The sequence below is a fragment of the Homo sapiens genome, chromosome 6 (genome assembly GCF_000001405.40).
Source record: "Homo sapiens chromosome 6, GRCh38.p14 Primary Assembly".
In the NCBI taxonomy this organism is placed as follows: Eukaryota; Metazoa; Chordata; class Mammalia; order Primates; family Hominidae; genus Homo; species Homo sapiens.
The window spans coordinates 166,549,832-166,566,508 of NC_000006.12; the positions used below are offsets into that span (position 1 = coordinate 166,549,832).

At 46.9% G+C, this 16,677-nt stretch overlaps 1 protein-coding gene across 8 annotated transcripts in view, besides 2 other annotated features; it reads right to left on the reverse strand.

Annotated features, from left to right (window-relative positions):
• Positions 1-16,677, reverse strand: part of RPS6KA2 (ribosomal protein S6 kinase A2) — a 453,410-nt gene that overhangs the window by 140,468 nt on the left and 296,265 nt on the right. The gene's annotated exons all lie outside the window — the stretch shown is intronic.
• Positions 1,870-2,444: an enhancer, noted in NCBI's record as "NANOG hESC enhancer chr6:166965189-166965763 (GRCh37/hg19 assembly coordinates)". NCBI's record gives its function as "activates a minimal SCP1, AML or CMV promoter by ChIP-STARR-seq in primed H9 embryonic stem cells {active_cell/tissue: H9 hESC(primed)}" and the evidence as "EXISTENCE:reporter gene assay evidence [ECO:0000049][PMID:30033119]".
• Positions 15,222-15,759: an enhancer, noted in NCBI's record as "H3K4me1 hESC enhancer chr6:166978541-166979078 (GRCh37/hg19 assembly coordinates)". NCBI's record gives its function as "activates a minimal SCP1, AML or CMV promoter by ChIP-STARR-seq in primed H9 embryonic stem cells {active_cell/tissue: H9 hESC(primed)}" and the evidence as "EXISTENCE:reporter gene assay evidence [ECO:0000049][PMID:30033119]".

The window sequence follows — 16,677 nt, forward strand, 5'->3', positions numbered from 1 at the left end:
ATTGTACCAAATGTGAAATTCCTCGTTTTCATACTGCCCTGTGGTTGTACAAGGTGGAGCCCGGCTGAAGCACAAAGGACCTCTGCCACGTGTTTTGCAGCTTCCTGTGACTCTATAATCATTTAAAAATTTTAAAAATGGTAAAAAGTGATTTTTAAGTCTATTTGCCAATATTGAAAGAGCTTTGTTATAAGATTTAAAGAAAGCAGAAAAATAAACGTCATGTATATGATGATTACCGTGACATTTTTACAAGGTAGGAAAAATATTTATGGAAAATACGTCAAGATATTAGAAGTGATAGTATTAGAAAATATAAATGATTAATTTTCTCCCCTTTGTTTTCTGAATTTCCTATACAGAAATAGAAAACTGGCCAAGTTTCTATACAAGGACATTTAAAATGATAAACTATGCGACATTCCCTCTGTTTACTCACTGCTATCCTATTCAGCTGCACTGAACTATAATGGAAAGTTCAGGCAAAATTAACTGTGAGTTTTCAAAAGCAAATAAGATCAAACAACTTGCTGCAAGGGAAAAAAAAATGGAAGCCAATGGAAAACAATTTGGATATCATTTCTGGATCAAAGAATAAACCTATTAATTGGTAAAAAAAAAGAAGGACTCAATATTTTTAAAGCTATTAACATTTTTTATACTCAACACACAGATTCCTCCCGTGCATGAACATGGAATGTCCAATCAGGGTACAGATGGCGAACATGGACGCCTGCAATATGGACGGCAACATGCACTTCCCAGCACTGCGGGCAGTCAGGGAGGCAGTTCACAGATTTTTTCCTGGGAGGTGGGTGTCTCTAGGGGTGGGTGGCAACAATTTACTGGAAACTGACAAACAAAAGAACTTGTTTTAAAGTGAAATTAGGGTTGGGCGCGATGGCTCACGCCTGTAATCCCAGCACTTTGGGAGGCCAAGGCGGTCAGATCACAAGGTCAGGAGATCGACACCATCCTGGCTAACACGGTGAAACCCCGTCTCTACTAAAATACAAAAAATTAGCCAGGCGTGGTGGCGGGCGCCTGTAGTCCCAGCTACTCGGGAGGCTGAGGCAGCGGAATCGCTTGAACCTGGGAGGCGGAGGTTGCAGTGAGCCGAGATCACGACACTCCAGCCTGGCAACAGAGCCGGACTCTATCTCAAAAAAAAAAAAAAAAAGAACGTGAAATTAGGTACTACTCTCTGTAACACTAATTAGATAACTGAGTTAAGTGTGATACATTTATTTCTTTTACATTAAGTAGTTTTCTAGACATAAATATGAAGGGTTCAATTTTTTTTTCTTTCAAAGTCCTTAGGATTAACTCAAGCAAAACCAGCGACCATCTCTTTTGTAATGTATGTGTGTGTTGGACTGATGCTCCCCTAATCTTTGAAGGAAGGTTCAATGTGAATGGTATTCTCCAATGCATAAATGAGATAATTGGGGCAATGGAAGAGAACTACTTCTGCAATACTCTCTGGTCCTAACTACTTTTTCAGTTTCCTGCTAAAAGTAGATCATTCCGGATCTCCTTGAGAGAGGATTTCCAATGTGGCCAGTGGAGTTTCAGAAGACATGTGGCATGTGGCAGCCCCTGCTCTGTGTGCTATTTCCTATCCTGACGATTCTTACGAATGGAAGCCCTACGAAAAACAATCAACACTCCAGAATTAGGTTTCAATGATGTCAGAGGTAACGTGCAGATCATCATTTAGCAGTTTCCAAAACTGTTGAAAAGATGAAACTTTTGGACAAAAACCTCATTCAAAGGAGTTCATTAAATAGCCATCCTTCTTTCTTTTCTTTTTAAACTAACCTAGTTATTGCATTCTAAAAGATTATGAAGCATTTTGTTAAAAAAAAAATTAGATATGGTGCAAAGTTTAGAAACGGCCTCACCAGCCCACCAGGCACCTGATCACCCTCCATCCCTGAGCCTGCAGAATGGTGAGAGCAAGAAGGACTTGGCACAGAACAATAACTTGAATGGAATTAAGCTGACTGCTGAAATGCAAACATGCGGTAGGCTTTGCCAATATGAGCTACAAATTACGGATTTCCGAACAGTCTTGGGCACAGATAGGGTATTTCAAGTGAGGCGACAAACTGAAGTCGTTGACACAGCACAATGCCCTTGCAGACCGCCTTCCGACACAGCTTAATTCTATCAGCGTTTCCATTGTCATTCGCAAGCAGCACAGACTGACAGGCTGAAGACCCACACCTAGTGGATTTCACCCGCCTAGAGATCCTTGTTACCCAGTGCTGCTCCAAAGCAGCTCCCTGACCCCATGAACACTTACAGGGGAACTCAGGGGCTGTGCATGGATTAAATACAGTCTCAATTCTCAATTTCACAGGTCTTTGACCCCCCACAGGACAGGCCACATTTTGTACTAATGCCTGCTTATCCCCTCCTACCTCGCAAAGCGTCTGGCACCATCCTTCCTCAGTCTTTGTTCAAGGAATCGATGAAAACTTGTGAAATGGTTTAGAGCGGTGCTTGGCGGTCCCCAGGAGGCCCTGCTCAAATGCCAGGCTGCAGAATCACCCAGTGGCATGGCCTCACCCACATGATGACAGCCAATCCCTCTGTGTGGCGAAAGATGTGGGCTTGAGAACTTTCTACACTCCAGAAGCCATTACTGGCACAATATATAAGTGTTCAAGATCAAAAGAAATTGTATTATAAAAGTTTTTTTTTTAAATCTACCCTAGCTTGAGGTTTGGTAAAATGCCTTGGCCACATCCCCCAACTGCAGGTGTCCTGTTCTGCATCTGGACCACACGCCTTGCCTGGGAGAGACTTCAGTGATGGAGGAGACAATCCCAAAAGGTTTCTGAAGCTCTCACAGTCACATGCCAAAAAGTCCACTATTTATTTTAGAAAAAAGGATTTGGAAACTTGGTTAGGAAACCCATGCATCGAGGATGCTATTTCCGAATTGCTAAGTAAAAAGTTTATCATTTCCTATGCACAAAAACGACCAGCTCTTTTTCAGTGGCATAGCAGGGATGGGCCGATAACCACGCTGGTCCCTGGAGGCTAATGTGGGCTGTATCCTGGCAATGGCCACAGGTGTGCAATGGCTCTCTACGGATTCTGCAGTCTAGCTTTGACATTGATCTACTAGGTTTTAGTAACAGCTTGACATCTGAATGGTTTATTATCATTAGCATATGAACACACACTTATATAATATTGCTGAATGTAAAATTCTCAAGGTAGGCTCAACTCAAACCCTGGAGGCAGCATGTGTCTTAGCCACTTACTCATTTTTGGTTTTTGTTTTTATTTTTGAAACAGGGTCTCACTCTGTTGCCTGGGCTGGAGTGCAGTGGTGCAAACACCCCTCGCTGCATCTTTGACCTCCCTGGGCTCAAGAGATCCCCCACCACAGCCTCCCGAGTAGCTGGGGCAACAGGTAAGTGACACCATGCCCGGCTAATTTTCTTTGTATTTTTTTGTAGAGATGGTGGTCTCACTATGTTGCCCAGGCAGGTCTCAAACTCCTGAGCTCAAGCAGTCTGCCCACCACGGACTCCCAAAATGCTGGGGTTATAGGTGTGAGCCACCATGCCCAGCCTCCACTTACTCATGTTTAGTCCCACTTTTTTTTTTTTTTCCTTAAACTCCTTAATGCAAGAAAATGCTTGGGAAAGAAACAGGAGTCATTTAAAAAAAAAAAAAAAGGCACCCACTCGTGGTGTTCCCAAGTAGCAAACTGACTGGGCAGAGTGGGAAGGACTCAGAGACAACTCACTGACCCGCCCCGCCAGCCCTCTTTCTCTGCTGGCTCTGACGTGGGCCAGTCAGCCCTGACTCAATGCTCACATATTATCACACGTGCGGCTCATCCCATTGTTAGAGGATACCATTGCTGAGCCAAACACAGGGCACTGCTTTAAACAGACTTGGCTAATTTCTGCACCCATTACAAGCTGATACGTTAAAAAAAGAAAGCCAGCCTACTATCATCTGTTTTCAAATGTTTCCAAATTGCTCTTCTTTCTCAGAATGACAGCTTTGGAACATTAGCGCAAATCCCCACCGAGATTTGCATCCGTATTCTTGGATCTTATTCAGAACTTAGCCCTGCTGAAAAATACACAGTTAGGTCAAAGTCTGTTCATGGGAAACTAGTATGCGTATTTCAGAAGGAGCTCTCACCTACAGGCTACCCCGAGGCAGTGGCTGGAAACTGCACCAAACCCTGTGTGTGTATCTGTCTATCTGTCTGTCCAGGCAAGAACATTTGGAATTTTCTAGTGCAGTTCTTGGTGCTGCCATCACTGAAGCAACTGATGCAGTTCGTAAGTTCAGCTTTCTGCTACTTCTTCCCACAGAGTGACATATTTTTCTTATTAGACTTAGAGCTTTTCAAATAATGATGACCTGAGAAGCGACTGCTACCCCTTTCCCAGAAGTAAGAGATCTGCAAAATTTTGCTCGTTCGTGAGCATTTTAGCTTCTGTTTCAAGTCTTAAGACTAACATATTCCCAGACTGTCAGGCCAGTTTTATGAAGCTGAATGTGATATAAAGCTTAACCTGCCTCCTTTTGTTGTAAACATTGGATGCAAAGAAGAATTAACCATGGAACTAGAAGCTGCTGGCTGAATAAAAATCCCACGGGAATTTCTGTTCCCTTTCTATTCCTCTTCCCAGCTCCGGATGTGCATCCTGTGTGGGGACAGAGAGAAACATTCAGGGACAAAACCTAAGTCACGAGGTCTGATGCGATGTGAGAACTCGCGGCTGGCACGCGGGTGGCCATGGGGGGGTGGGGGTCCCACTCCAGCACAGGACTCCATCCTCCTCCACTGCAGCCTGAAAGCAGGGGGCAAAACCAACCTGCTGTCTGAAAGGGTTTTGTTTTTTTGTTTTTTTCTAAGCAAACAAGTCTGACCTTCCATCCCTAGGAAAGGCCTACTTATGATGAGAATTCTGATGTCAATGTGAGGAGACACTGCCCAGACCAGCAACTCCACAGCAAGTCAGAAATACAGAGATTGCCCACCGCATGAAAAATGTCTCCAGTTTTACAAAGGTCAATTGGTAATTTACAAAACCTGATTTTGAGATGACTTTAGGAAATTGTTGCTTCTATACTTTTTCTCTACAGAGCTAGAATACTGTTCAAGCGACAGCAGAAAACATCAGTTCCCTAAACCCAATGTAAAAATTGATGATTTCTCTAGCAATTTGGGCTCAAAGACACTGCAATAGCTTGAACCAGGAACATACATCCTAAGCAGGTAAATCTGTTTTCTTCCCAGGTACGTGGTAGGTTTTACAATGGGAAAGGGACTCCTCCAAGTCACGGTTATTTGTGCATCTCTTCATAAGTGACAGGGGTGAGAAGAATTGCACGCTGGCTTCTGGACAGGAATACAGTTCTAAGCAGCATTCATCAGGCCGCACTCTGGCCCACTTCCTTGTTGTGAAAAGTCACATAGCTCTAGACACTGACCACCTGCACCCCTATTGTTCTGGGCTCTCCGACCTTGGAGCCATAAAGCTTTTGTTTAAGGATCACTTAAGATGTTTTTCAGACCCTGAATTCCAGCAACCAGTTTGAAGACCCCCACAGAGGAATGGCATTGGTGTAGAATATAGCTTCTTCCTCTCCCTGTCCCACGAAGTCACCCTGTACTCTTCCACAAATCAACAATCTCCACGCTGCAGCCACTCCAAAAGCCACAATCCTGAGCCCAAATTCCTCGGGGAGGTGGATTTGAGGTTTTCTCCCATCGCCTCGTTCAGGGATGCTACGATTGAGCCTCTTTCTCTGCTGCAACCCAGTATCTCGGTGTACTGACTCCTGTGTGCATCGGGCAAAGAACCTATTACGCTTACATTTCCCAGTCACCTTTCATGTTTGAGGTTTCATCATTCTGAAAGGTGACACAGAATCATCATGGAACAAGAGCATCCTTCTCCCTACCCAGATAGGTCCTTCATCTGGGCGTCATCAGAGAGGTGGGCTGCTGTCACCTCACTTATAGGTAAAAATATACTTTAGGCAGACTGTGGGGAAAAGGAAGGAGACTAGAGGATGCTGCTCTAGGAAGGATGGCCCAGGGTGGAGGTGATGGGGAATCCTAGAGTGACAGTTGCTAAGTGGGGTATCTGGGGGAAAACAGTTGGGGCAGTGAGCTCAGGACTGGAGTGAAAGGGCCACGGCTAGAAGCCCTGGGGTAAGAAGATGCAATTTCTGATTATTTCTCCTGTAATCCAGGGGTTATCCATATGCACTTATCTGGAGCTGGTCTTTGGGGAGCAGTGAATAGCCTGTTCCTGGACCCTCTTTCTCTCTTCTGCAAAGTCCTGGATGGGCAGGAAATCAGGTGGCTCTCTCCTGTGCAAGAGTCCTTGTTCCAGGCCCTACCTGTTGGGGTTCTCTGCTCGGGTTCAGACAGAGCCTCACCCACTGGGTGCAAATTCACTCACACCAACTCCTCAGCTCCACAGGCGACTGACTGTAGATGTTACTACATTTTCATTTTTCTTGGCTTGTAAGTCCCTAATGACTTTTCCCCCTACTACCTGACATGTTAGAAATGGTCATTCCCATAGCCACTGAAAGATACCCATGTTAATCTCCACCTCTGAGTCAACTGGCCTTGTAAGCACACTAACCCTTCATCACAGAAGAAAGTGAATTATGTGAGTGGGTTGTGGTTGGGAACCACTTACTCCTGAGAAGACAGCAGAATCCCACCACTAACCTATAGGAATGAAGATGACCAAGTCATGCTGGAATAGACTCAAGAGTACAGAGGTGGGCAACTGGCACACCCAAAGGAACACAGGACATAATACAAACCTTCCTTTCCCACCACAATAATAAAACCCCAAAGAGAATGTAATGTTACTGTTTCTCTGTGGAGCAGAATCCCTCTGAGTCCAGCTGTCTGAATCGGGCGTCGTTATTCTAGGTAGGCCACCCACAGCCTTCCAGTAAGCTCCACCAGAAACCCAAACAAAACACAACAAAAAAAACTTGTCAGGGCAGTCTTTGTAAAAGTACAATCCCCTAATGAACATTTTCTATTGTTTCACCCAGGCAGATTTAGAAGCCCGCTAGAGGCTGGTATGCTGGGCGTGGACTCAGTGTGTAGCTGGTGTCCAGTGTTCTGGCCAAGTCCACGAGTTCTCAGGCAAGTGCCAAGAAACCTGCATGCCAGCAACCAGACCACGGGGCATTAGCCGGGGCTGACTCATCACATCCCGCCTCGCCAAACACGTTTTCTCTTCCTGTTACCCAGTGCCAAGTGGCTGTGCTGAACAAGAGGGCACAAAGTAGAACATGCCCTCCCCCTCTCTGCTAAGTTCCTCCCTGATCTACGGCAGGCAGTTCCCACCCAGCCAACAGGCAGAGGCAGCTGCAGCCTGAGTGCGCAGAGGGTAGCTCCTGCCGGGGTGAGGACCGTGGGCGCGGAGCATGCTTCCCAAGAACAGCCCGCAGGGAAGACGCCCAAAACCTAAATCGACATAAACACGGTCCTGGCCACCACGTCCCCCACAGACTCAATGGTCAGGTGGCCGGGGTCACTCTGAAAATGAACTGTTCTCCCACTGAGCTGTGCCTCAACCCAAATTAACCTGAAGTTCTGTTTACAGGGATTGAGAGAAATGAATGGATTGAATTATGCTAATATCTTCCCTTCCCATAATCCTAATTGAGTGATATGGTCTGGCCTTAGAGTTTCTCTGGCACCTTTGTCAAATGACAGAAAAATCAGCTTTTGTGTTTTTGTGTCTGTTATTAAAAAATGTTTTAATGAAGTATTATACCACATAATAGATATATAGAAAAGTCCAGGCAACTTACAGAAATAATACAGATAAATTACAAGAAAGTTGTTATTCCCAGGCAAATATCCAGAGTTCAAAATGAAACTCGAAATCCTTCTAGTCTCTATATACAGACTTTCCTCACTCTGTGAACCCTCACTATCCTAATATTTTCCATAACAACTTGCAAAACATTTTAGCCCCAGTTCACCATCCAAATAGAAAGCCTGTTACACCAGTGTATGTCAGGGTTCTTCAGAAAAACAAAACCAGTAGGTGATATGTGTGTATGTGTGTGGGTGTGGGTGTGTATAGAGATGTATATGTATATACAGAGGGGTGTGTGTGTGTGTGTATATATGTATGTGTATATATAGGTGTGTATGTATGTGTATATATAGGTGTGTATGTATGTGTCTATAGATTTGTATGTGTATATATATAGGGGTGTGTACATATATATGTATGTATATATAAAGATGTGTATGTGTGTATTACATCTATGTATGTGGGGAGAGAGAGAGAGAGAGAGAGAATGAATCAGCCCCCACACATATAGAAGCTGACGAGTCCCAAGGTCTCCAGTTAGCAGGCTAGAGACCCAGGAAGAACTGATGTTTTAGTTCAAGTCCAAAGGCAGGAAAACACCAATGTCACAGCTCAAGCTGTCAGGCAGGAGGCGTCCCTCTTCCTTGGGACAGGGCCAGCCCCTTTGCTCTGTTCAGACTTTGGCTGGTGGAGGAGGCCTACCCGTATCTAGGGGGCAACTGCCTCACTCAGTCCAGTGACTCAGATGTTAAAACCATCCACAAACACCCTCACAGACATACCCAGAATAAGGGTTAACTAAATATCTGTGCATGTGTGGCCAAGTTGACACATGACATTAATCTGCATCCCAAGCAGTGTGTGCCCAGGGCAACACTCAAGGCTGGGCTGGGGCAGGGGGAGGGTGAGAGGCAAGCGGTGTCTCAGCCATTCTCCAACAGGATGGCGACCATAAGTGGGGCGGTAAATGTGCTTATAACATCACTGTTGGTGGCCCCATGCTGTTAACGGAAAAGGTTTTCCAGGAAAGTGGCAAACCGTGAGAAGTAGTGAGGGATCCGAGAGGCCTAATAAAGCCCACACCGTGGAGAAAGTCTACAGTCACGGAGCATCACAAGTGCTGGCTGGACACGTGAACCCATGATGACACACAAGCTCTGACATCCTTGCTATGAAGGTAAATTCAGTCTTGAGGAAACATTTGGTGTTTCAAGTGCTTTATGTGAGGCAGAAATTCTTGAAAGATTATATTGGAGTTTCAGAGTTTTTGTGTATTTGTGTATTTTGTGGTTTTGTGCTTTTGAGTGGGTTGAGCTAGGAAAATGTAATTTTTTGCCATTTAAAATAAAGGCATGTGGGCTCCTGATATTCATAAACTTGCTATGCTCCATCTCTTCATGAGGATTAGATCTGGGTTAAGAAGGAGGCTTTGGACCTGGAATATGACACACCGGAACTACTGTATCATTCTGTAGTGGGCAGTGTGGGCAAGGATTCAGTAGAGGAAAAGAGACATGGAATATGACACACCAGAACTACCGTATCATTCTGTAGTGGGCAGTGTGGGAAGGGATTCAGTAGAGGAAAAGAGTTCTGCATTTTCTTTCTCAATGCACAGGGATAGAGGCATGTAACAGGAGAAAATACATGGGTAGGATGCATGACATACGAATTTTGTCAGTGTTGCCTCATCCTTCAAGTGTGCACCAGCCAAACACGCAAACCTTCCGACACTTCCTGAATGCCAAAATCATCACATCAGAGCCAAGCCAAATGAGGCAGAAACCACCATGCTAAGTGATGAATGCTTCTCTTATTAAGGATTAGTTAATAATGACCATGCTGTAAATTACTGTATCATATGTCCAAAGACATCCCCAGTGGACTGGTGAGTAAGTTTCAGTAACTTGTATGAGTAAAAACGATAAGCAGGGCCTCCTAAACTCTCCCCTATCCAGAATCCGAATTGAGTAATATGGTCTGGCCTTAGAGTTTCACTGTCACCTTTGTTGAATGAAAGAAAAATCAGCTTTTGTGTTTTTATGTCTGTGTTATTAAAAAAAAGTTTTAATAACATGTTATACCATATATTAGATGTACAGAAAAGTCTAGGCAACCTAAGGAAATAATAGAGATATATTACAAGAAAGTCAAGTTATCCCCAGACAAATATCAAGAGGCCTCTTAAAATGTTACCAAAAAGAGAAAAATCTATGCCACAACTAAAGATCCACATTTTTACAAGAACTCTCAGCACCTTTCTTCTAATGGCATTTAAGAAGAAACCAGGAAAACATACACATGTGAACTTACAAAGATGCAAACCGCATGACCTTCCCTGACACTAGCACTATGACATCAAAATCAGCATGATTTAGACTGAGATGTGAGTCTAGTGGGCATCTCATACCACACACTGTCAGGACAGTACCAGACACAGCAGACACACCAGACCACACCTACTGCTCATAGGCCATGGAAAGAAGCCACCAATGAATAAGCTGGGCATGCATTTCTGGCCCTCTGTGTTCTGCAGGGGAAGGGTTCTATCACCAATGGGCCCAGTTCCTGGGATTCCAAGCACATATTTCAATGCGCTTACATGAAATACTGGTTTTTATTTCAAAGAACAACTAGTCTTCATATTTCTTTTAAGGTCTTAACAAGTACCTTGCAATACAATAAATAATAACCAAACACAATGAAGGCAGACATGAAGATAAATTATCATTCCAATGAGGCTTACAATTGTTTTCCTGACAGTGAATGTTCTCAAGCACAGTGCCAGAATGCAGCATAAAGAACAATGACACATTCCATACATTTCGCTTAAGATATGTGATCAGAATTCAGAGGAGACCAGGGTCTTAATATGCTTAGGGGGCTTCTGAGGAAGGAAAATCACAAAACACACACCCATTGTGACGGGAAATCACAGCAGAAAAAAGAGAAATGGGGTGGTCGCGAAACTCCAAGGCCCCGCTTGGTGGGAGGGGAGGGAGGGCAGGCACCAGCAGGTGGAGGGGGTGGCCTGGGCAGAGGATGCAGGTGCAACGTGACCAAGTGAACAGGAGGACTGGCTTCCTACCCCTGAATCTGCACCCCTCTTACAACACTCTTGCTTTTTCTTTTATTCTTCCCTAACGCTTCCCCAAGCATACACCAAAAGAAATGCTATCAATGGTCACTTATTCTCATGCAAGTGGCTCATTCCACGGTCCTTTTGGGGCGTATTTCTTAGCCCAACATGGTGTTTTTTTTTTTCCCTGAGACTAATCCCATTCACTCATATGTGCATTGGTAATCCACACCCCTACTAAATAAAGCAAGCTTTTTGCAAGTATTGATCAGAGAAAAGCGTTCAACTTATCCACCATTAAAACAAAAAACTCAGGGCTGTTTCCAGTAGCAAGAACAATCATATAAACGACCTTCCTCCATGTTGGAGGTGTGTTTCCTGGGTGCACTTGTGCACACACACTCCCCCTGGAGCCCTACACACCTCATTCAGGAGACCCTGGAAGGCCAGCGGGCAGGAGCCCTGACCTGCAAATGTGTTGTCATCTCCACCCATTTCAAGACCTTCCCTCCATCCTTGGAGGATGAGACCCTGTGCCCAGCTCAAGGTCCCTGCTTTGTCCCCGATACCCTGAACACTTGGTCTTGCTCCTTCCTCCCCTCCACCATTCTTCAGCTTGTCCCCCTTCCCAGGCCTGCTCGTTCCCCGCCAATGGGTTCCCTCCCTCCTATAAAGAAGAAAATCTGTTGAGCATGGTTCATCGTTGACTGCTGCTCTGTGCCCCTACTGCCACCCCCTCCCCATTGCTGAGCCCACTCTGGGAGTCACCCTCGACTCTCTCATCTGCTTGACTCTGTGGGGGGAGTCCTGGGTCAGTGCTTACCTGTGACAGTTTCTAGCAGGCAAGACGGCTGAAGGGGTATTAGGAACTAGGCTGCTTGACTCTTGCTTTCAAGTTGTAGTCACAGTTGACATGTACCCTGCCCCAAAGCCTTGGAAAAGTCTGTTTACACCAGGAGTGTCCAATCTTTTGGCTTTCCTGGGCCACACTGGAAGAAGAAGAATTGGAAGAAGAAGAAGACGATGGGCTGCGGGTTGGACAAGCCTGGTTTACACAGAGATTTTTGAGAGGGAGGCTCTGGAGCAATCACAGAGAAGCAACTGGCTTTCATACCAAACAGCATGAGGGAGGAGAGAGCGGCCACCAGAAGCCAAGGTCATAAAAGTGAGGGCGTACTGAGCACGCATATGTCAGGCACTGTGCAAAGCATTTTGCAAACATTATGTCATTCAATCTTCAAAGCAGGCGGAGAGGGAGGCATTGCTGGCTCATGTTTAGAGATCTGGGGAGGGAGGAACACAGTCACCCGAAACTATAAGCCCTGGATATTTTCAGAGTCCTTAGAGAAGGAATTAGACTTCCTACAGGATACAGGACACGCAGCTTGAGGCAAATAGATTTCAAAGCAAAATCCACCATCTGAGAGGCACACTCCAAGCAGCACCACTTACTCACTTTGCATCTCTAGGAGAGCTGCTTAGTCTCCTGGGCCTCTGTAAAATGGCGTGATCACAGTACCTACCTCGTGGAGTTAATGCAGAGATGGCATTAACCAGTGTTGGTGATCAGACACTACCTATTATTTATATTATTGTTAGTATCACCCATGTATACATACAAGTCTCTAAGTATGCATTTCTATGTGCATACATACATAGCACACGTAGAATCAATGAATGTAATGACCATCTCTGGCTCTCTGTTGAGAGAAACATGAAAATTTATAATCCCTGCCCTCAAGGAGTTCAGACTCTGGTGACAAAGGAATAAACTAAATAGGTAGACTGCCAAGCACAATAAAATTCATTCCCAAACTGGTCCTAAGCACCTACTAAGAGCCCGGCTGCTACTAAGCCTTGAGTATGTCAAAGTATGACCCTTTCTCTGCCTCAGGCTCAACCTGGCGGGAAAGACAAACCCGTTACCCATAACCTTCCAACATTCCAAGAAACAGCCTCAGAAGAGGTTTATCCCAGGTGCTGGAAGTCTCCAGGTGGGACACACCAAGTTAATCCAAGATGCTGAGCTGGTGGATGGGACAGCATGGCCACGATGGGGGCTGGGGGCTTTGCAGACGAGGTGTCTTAGTTGAGCCCTGAAGGCTACTTGGACTTCCAGAAGTTGGGGGTGCAGGGGGCCTGGGATGTGTGGGCAGGATGACTGGGGCAGAAGCAGGGGTACAAGGACAGGCGCCCCGGCGGGACAGACTGAGAAGGCGGCCGAGCCAGACCGAGGAACAGCGCAAAAGGTAACATCCAAGTCACAACAGGAGTCCAGAGGGTCCTGAGTGTGGGAAACACAAGCTCTTCTAGCTTTTAGTCCTTGGAGTCCCTTCCAGTGTGTGGAAGAGATCCAGCCTGCAATGACTGGAGGGTGGGAGTGGACGAAGTTTATTCTGGAGACAACAAGGGGTCCTGGTGGCTTTTCCGGGGTAGTGGAGACACCGCCACGTCTGTGTCTCTGGAGAAGGAAGATGGAGAAGGCATCCTCCGGTGGGATGGGGTGGAGCTGGGAGAGGCCCCAGCGGGAAGCACTCGGAGGAGCGGGGGCCAACCCGGAATCAGCCTCTGTTCCTTCTTTTCCGCAGCTCACCTGTTCCCGGCTTTTCCTCCCAGTCTCCTGGGCTCGCCGCCAGCGGTGGGATCCCTCTTCCTGCACAGAACCGCCTCTTCCTTCCTCCTGGTGACAGATGCCCCCTGCCACCCCCAGGGGCTGCGGCTCCCCCAGATGCCCAGCCTCAGCCTCCTGAGTGCTGTGCCTGCCCCCACTCCATCTGAGCGGCTGACCAGTCACCAGACTCACCCCCACCCGCCCTCTCCCCTCCACACAGGGTAGCCCCCAACTCCAGCCAGAGGGAGCCAAGACCTCCCACCCCAGGCAGATCTTGTGGGCAAGGTATCTGCTTAAAGACATTGATGGATTTTATGAAGAAAATATTTAAGCCAATTTAAATATTTCAGCAATTGATAAGTAACTCAGCTTTTATGGGCTGGACCTTTAGGGTATTGTTTGTAAGATGTATATGATTTTCATATCTATATCAGTGCTTATAATATTGTTTGCATGAAAAAAAAGTTTCTCATGTTTGCCATCCATTTACAAATGAGCTTTACCTATTTGTAAATTACGGGCTTTCAACACGCAGCTGGACGTGGCAGGAAAGAGGAGACGATTACTCCGTGTCTCAGCATGAAGAAATGGCAGATGTCAGATGTCAGCGCTGCCAATGTTTCAGCACTGCGGTTCCTTGCTCACTGAGTAGGAACAGTTTGCAGAAATACTGGACAACCTGCTGTGGATAATAAACTATGTCCCAGGCTCTGTGTTTCCTCAGGAATATATTTACTTAGAGAAGCGGCCTATTAACATTTCCCGGGAAAATGCAAAATCCATTTTGTGAAGCAGTGAGGCTGAGTTTTCATAGTTCTTTCCTCCTCCAGGTGTCTTCACTCCAAGCTTGTCACCCGCATCATTCGATCAAGAGTGCCCAGAACATCGCATGTGTCAAATCCTTACCGTTTCTGCCTAATTGGCAGTTACAGCCTCGGCCCACCTGTTTCCAGGGTTCCCAGTGTCAGTCGGACACTGGAGGGGCCTCCCTCTCCCCACCAGTCTCTGGGGCAGATTCCCCCTCAGCCTAAACATTCTGCACTGCAGAGGGCCTGCCACTCACAAGCAGCTTCTGTGCCGCTCTTCCAAATTACCCTGAAGACATTCCCTGTCCGCCCCACGCCTCCCCTTTATTCTCTTTCTCATCTCCAATGTTAAAGAGTTTCTGAAGCAAATGACAATGACAGTTGACAGATTTCAGTCTGAATTTCCCTTTTCTAGGGCCCTCTTCTAGGCATCTATCTTGCACTTGCTCTTTAATGTGAAGCTTTTTGACTATTTCTGTTGTAGGAGCTCTCATTCAGACGCTGTAAAAACAGCTGTTTTCCAAATACACAAATAACGCAGTCTAGAAAAACTGGGAACTTTCTATGGGGGAAAGTCCTTGCTCATCCTCCCGAGCCACGGATCAAGGTCGAGGGCTGCAGCGTGTCCCTGCGGCAGCATCACCTTTCTGAGAGTCCTCAGGAAGCATCCTCAGTGGCCAGATCCCATTTCAAGGGCCCTGTGCTTCAGGGAGCGGGCAGGAGCTTTAGGACATGTGATCCCTTATATGTCTGAGCCGTCATCTGTGGGCCATGAATGTGTTTTTAAAATGGTCATTTTAATTACCCTTATGAGGTGTTCACGTGGTTCCCCATTCAGAGTCTACAGCCAGGAGGGAATAAGGCAGACACCAAGAGCCACTTGGCGAAGTGGAGATGGCTGGGCTGAAAGTCACTCCTGCATCTTCCTGTTGAGTCTGGCTTGAAATTCCTGGGAGAAAAGAGCAGGCTGGGGCCAGTGCTCGGCCTCTGCTATGCAACCAGAGGCTCTCCAACTTTTCCCCATCCCAAGTGATTTAAGTCACCGCCAATTCCAAACCATTAAACTCACACTGGAGAGAGGCCCGTTGTTTAAGCTGAGATGGTGCTGACAGCGAGGCGGTGGGGGCTGGCTTTAACGAAGCCCTGAGCTTGTTCTTCTGCGGTGTGCTTCAGCCATTTCTCCAGCTTCCCTCGGGACTGACTGAGCTCATCAGACCCCGGGATCCAAAGCCTGTGCTGGGATGCAGGGGTCCGCCCTCCCTGGCACCTGGCTGCAGGCTTTGCTGGTGTGGCTGGCCTGGGCCCCGGCTGCCTCTGCCTACAGTGCCATCCACGCTAGGGAACAGCTGTCCCCACAAGAACCATGTGGTCCATGTCTGGGCAGTGACCGCCTCACTTGCAGCCAACCCCACACTCTTCAGTGGTGCCGAGGTCCTGTGGCAGACTCAGCCAATCCCAGTGTGGACTTGACTCGGTCTTGGACACCGGGGGCCAGTGAGCTAGCTGTTGGGCCAGTGGGGCTCAGCCTGATACTGGACAGAGCCTGGACCTGGGGCCTGTGGCTGGGGAGGGGTGCTCCTGTGTGGGCCAACAGGACGGCCGATGGCCTGGAAGACAGTGTGACCGAGCTATCAGCTAGCACTCGGGACTCCACATGGATGCAGAGGTCACCGCTGGCCATTTCAGGAGACACTACGCCTAGGAGCTACTGCAGCCAGCACTGCCAGGCAGCGACATCACAGGAGGACATTTCTAACAAAACAAAAAGCATCTTCCCATCTTCGTGGACAACTGCCATGTGGTTCTGATAACCACTTTTCAGGAGAAGAGACACATGAAACTTGGGATAGAAATAAAGAATGGGAAGAGTGTCATGGAAACCTAGATGAAAATGTAGGAATTAATCTTCAAAGTTCAGTGTGAGGTGTGTGACAGCAGGGAACATCCTAGGGTGTACAGAAAGGGAACAGACCTACTCCCGGGCTCCTGGGACGTGATGGCCTTGGCTGGGCGCAGGCTGCTACTGCAGGGGAGGCCATGTTCCTCTTCATGATTGTACCACATGGGGAAGAGCCTACATCGGTGTCCTTGCCAGAATATGCCAGAACATGCCTGGAAATCCCAGGCTGCTCCTTGGCATCTCCAAAGGGCCCCTTCACAGGCGTAGGCAGTGTATCAGGCAGGGACACCTGAGCCCTGCCAGCCATGTCTGAATGAGGGATGGATGGCTACCACCTCAGTCACCTCAATAACCTCACTGTTGGTGCCACAGGTCTGCCCATCCACCACATCACCAGAGGTTCTGTCTCCAGATGATTCTGAAGCACC